The following is a 4296-nucleotide window of genomic DNA, read 5'->3' as shown; positions in this document are numbered from 1 at the left end:
AAAGAGGACCTCAGGGATTCCTGCAGTTGTGCAGGAAGAAGCCTGTGGTGGCTGGGCGTGGTGGCTCACACCTGCAATTTCAGCACTTTGGGAGGCCGAGGCAGGAGGATCACTTGATGCCAGGAGTTCAATAGCAGCGTGGGCAACCTCTTCTCTACCGTGTGGTGGTGCACATACTCAGGAGGCTGAAGTGGGAGGATCACTTGAGCCCAAGAGGGGCTGGAGTGAGCTATGATTGTGCCAGTACACTCCAGCCGGTACAACAGAGTGAGACCACCGTCTCGAAAAAAAAAAAAAAAAAGAACCAGGAGTTCCAGGACAGCCACAGAGCTGGGTAGTAGGACACCTAAACCAGAGGGGACAAGCACCCAAAGGGAGACTGCCGCCCACCCTGGAGGGGGTTCCTTATTTTGGAGGAAACCGAGGTGAAGCTGAACACTGCCCCCAAGAAAGCCAGGCCCGGAAGTCTCCCCACACTGGCAGGGACTGGTCAGGTAGGGAAAGCTCTGCCTCTACCCCTCCTTCCTGCCCTCTAGCCCCATCGAAGAGAGAGAAAAGGAGGGAGGGTTGCAGAGGCAGACTACACCATCCTCCTGTTCTCCGGGTTGCTGGGAGCCAATGCTCTCACCAGCCCAGGAGGAGGGAGGACAGAGTGTTGCATTGTGCTTAAGACTGAAGTTTGGAAATGTGAACAGGCCCAAGCCTTAACTGCTGGAATGAGACTGTGTGAATGTCCAAAAGTGACAGGGGAGGCATGGCACCCATCCAAGGAAGCATTAGGGGATGTGAAGCAGCGGGACAGAGGGCCTACACTGTATAAATGAAAGCAGCAATTGGGGAAAATAAATCATACCATTGCAAGCTCACACTTCAACAGTTCAGACTCCTCCATCTAACCAGTTATAATGAGTTTCTCTGAACCTGATTTGTAAAAGTGTCACATGCAGGCTGCTGCCTCCACCAGCTAGGCTGTGCCCTTCATCCGGCGCTTGGGACCCAAGCTCAGACAGCCGTCTTCCTGCAGCAGTGACATGCCCAGGTGAGAACAGGTCCCAGCCCTCGTCACTCCAAAGCCAGACACAGAACTACATGGGCTGCAGCACAAAGAGGTCTTTGTTGGCATCCATCCTCAGACAATCTCAATATCCCTCCCCTCAGGTTGCAAGTGTCAGACATCAGGAAACTTTCTCCAAGGAAGCAAGGCTGAGTAAGGGCTGCCAGGCTACCAAGAAGCCAGCTCCACCATATATTTCACAGAATGAGGCTTTTTGGAGTGACACAGACCAGGGAGAAAAATGCTATGGGCACTCAAATTCTTGAGCTTGTTACTGCTCTAGGGCAAGGTGTGAAGAAAGCATTGTGGAAGATGCTGCACCATGGAAATCTGTTGGGAGAAGGAGTGGGAGCGTCTTGGTAATAATAAAGCAGGTTGGGGCGTGTGTATGTGTATTTGGGGGGACTGAAGGGTACGTGGGGCGAAACAAAACCGGCCATGGCAGCAGCGGAGGAGGAGGACGGGGGCCCCGAGGGGCCAAATCGCGAGCGGGGCGGGGCGGGCGCGACCTTCGAATGTAATATATGTTTGGAGACTGCTCGGGAAGCTGTGGTCAGTGTGTGTGGCCACCTGTACTGTTGGCCATGTCTTCATCAGTGGCTGGCACGGCCAGAACGGCAAGAGTGTCCAGTATGTAAAGCTGGGATCAGCAGAGAGAAGGTTGTCCCGCTTTATGGGCGAGGGAGCCAGAAGCCCCAGGATCCCAGATTGAAAACTCCACCCCGCCCCCAGGGCCAGAGACCAGCTCCAGAGAGCAGAGGGGGATTCCAGCCATTTGGTGATACCGGGGGCTTCCACTTCTCATTTGGTGTTGGTGCTTTTCCCTTTGGCTTTTTCACCATCGTCTTCAATGCCCATGAGCCTTTCCGCCGGGGTACAGGTGTGGATCTGGGACAGGGTCACCCGGCCTCCAGCTGACAGGATTCCCTCTTCCTGTTTCTCGCCATCTTCTTCTTTTTTTGGCTGCTCAGTATTTGAGCTATGTCTGCTTCCCGCCCACCTCCAGCCAGAGGAGAATCAGTATTGAGGGTCCCTGCTGACCCTTCCGTACTCCTGGACCCCCTTGACCCCTCTATTTCTGTTGGCTAAGGCCAGCCTTGGACATTCTCCAGGAAGGCCTGGGGAGGAGGAGTGAAGTCTGTGCATAGATGGGAGAGCCTTCTGCTCAGAGGCTCACTCAGTAACGTTGTTTAATTCTCTGCCCTGGGGAAGGAGGATGGATTGAGAGAATGTCTTTCTCCTCTCCTAAGTCTTTGCTTTCCCTGATTTCTTGATTTGATCTTGAAAGGTGGGCAAAGTTCCCTCTGACTCTTCCCCCACTCCCCATCTTATTGATTTAATTTAATTTTTCACTCCCCAGAGTCTAATATGGATTCTGACTCTTAAGTGCTTCCTCCCCCTCACTACCTCCTTTAATACAAATTCAATAAAAAAGGTGAAATAAAAAAAAAATCAATAAAGCAAAATAAAATTTGCTGGCATATGGGGCTCAAACAACTCAATTAGAATCAATTCACCAAATATTTACGGAAACCCCATTGCATGCACGAAATAGTATTAGGCACAGTTAGGAATAGAAAGATCAGTAGGGCAGGGTCTGTTTTAAAATGTACCTGGGATTGGCTGGGTGAGGTGGCTCACCCCTGTAATCCCAGCACTTTGGGAGGCCAAGGCGGGTGGATCACCTGAGGTCAGGAGTTCGAGACCAGCCTGACCAACATGGTGAAACCCCATCTCTACTAAAAATACAAACATTATGTGGGCGTGGTGGGGGCACCTGTAATTCCAACTACTCCGGAGGCTAAGGCAGAAGAATCGCTTGAACCCGGGAGGCAGAAGTTGCAGTGAGCCAAGATCGCGCCATTGCACTCCAGCCTGGGTGACAGAGCAAGACTCCATCTCAAAAATAATAATAATAACAAAATAAAATGTACCTGGGATTTATTTAGGCATGATGAGACCAGCAGATCAGGAGACAACTGCCATTCAAACTGTTCCCAAGCAGAGGAAGTGCACTTACCACCCAGGGTCCCGTGGGAAGCACCAGGGTCTGTCAAGAAGAAACACAGGTAACAGCCTGTGTGTGGTTATCTTGGAAAGGAATAGGCAGGGAAGGGTAAGCAGCCCAACAGGTCTAGGAATGAAAAATTTGAATAATTTTGGCAGGCTCTGGGCTTTAGAGGTGGTTGTCCAGTATCTGGCCCTCAGGCAATTAGGGCAGGGGATTAGTGTCCTGGCCTTGGGATCTGGTGGGGCTATGGACTTGGAATTGGTTGGTTTGCATATCAAAAATGAGCTTGCAGGAAATATGGAACCAGCCCAAATGCCCATCAATTAATGAGTGGATAAAGAAACTGTGATATATATTGGAATATTACTCAGCCATAAAAAGGAATGAATTAATGGTATTCACAGCAACCTGGATGGAATTGGAGTCTATTGTTCTAAGTGAAGTAACTCAGGAATGGAAAACCAAACATTGTATGTTCTCACTCATAAATGGGAGCTAAGCTATGAGGATGCAAAGAATAAGAATGATACAGTGGACTTTGGGGACTCAGGGGAAAGGGTGGGAGGGGGGTGAGAAGTTAGACTACAAATTGGGTTCCGTGTACACTGCTTAGGTGATGGGTGCATCAAAATCTCACAAATCCCCACTAAAGAACTTGCTCAGGTAAACAAATACCAGCTGTTCCCCAAAAACCTGTGGAAATAAAAAAATTCAACACTTTTTATAAATGAGCTTGCAGGAGAGTTGTGTGTTATCTCTAGGAATTAGTTAACCCTGGATGGGGCAGTGCTTCCTGGGTCCCAGATGGCAAGGAAACATGGTCAACACAGAGTTTCTGCTCTCAAGCTAAAAATTCAGGAGGAAGGACCTAGAACATGTCCACAAGCATAACACAAGACAGAATATAATATGTGGCATAAAAGATACAAATGAAGGGCATGGGATTTCCTAGAGAAGGAGAAATTATCCAGTTGAGGGAATCAGGAAATGCTTCAGGGAAGAGGTAGTATTTAGGCAATGAATAACAAAATATATTTAGTTTTTAATTGATAATACATGTGCATGATTTTTTAGAATCCAAAACAACAACAAGGGTCAAACTAAGAAAGGCAAAGCTATAGTGATGAAGAAGAAATCAGTAGTTGCCAGGGGTTAGGATTGGAAGGAGGAAAGAAATAAAAAGGAATAGCACAAGGGAGCTTTGGGGATGATAGAACTGTTCTATACTTAA

At 48.6% G+C, this 4296-nt stretch overlaps 1 pseudogene across 1 annotated transcript; it reads left to right on the top strand.

Moving 5' to 3' along the window:
- The first annotated feature begins 1435 nt into the window (after positions 1 to 1435).
- On the top strand, positions 1436 to 2520 carry RNF5P1 (ring finger protein 5 pseudogene 1; annotated as a pseudogene). Its single transcript, NR_003129.1, has one exon. The product of NR_003129.1 is annotated as a ring finger protein 5 pseudogene 1 (transcript).
- Positions 2521 to 4296: the final 1776 nt, after the last annotated feature.

Source organism: Homo sapiens, chromosome 8 (assembly GCF_000001405.40).
Source record: "Homo sapiens chromosome 8, GRCh38.p14 Primary Assembly".
Classification (NCBI taxonomy): Eukaryota; Metazoa; Chordata; class Mammalia; order Primates; family Hominidae; genus Homo; species Homo sapiens.
This window is presented reverse-complemented; position numbering and strand designations above follow the sequence as displayed.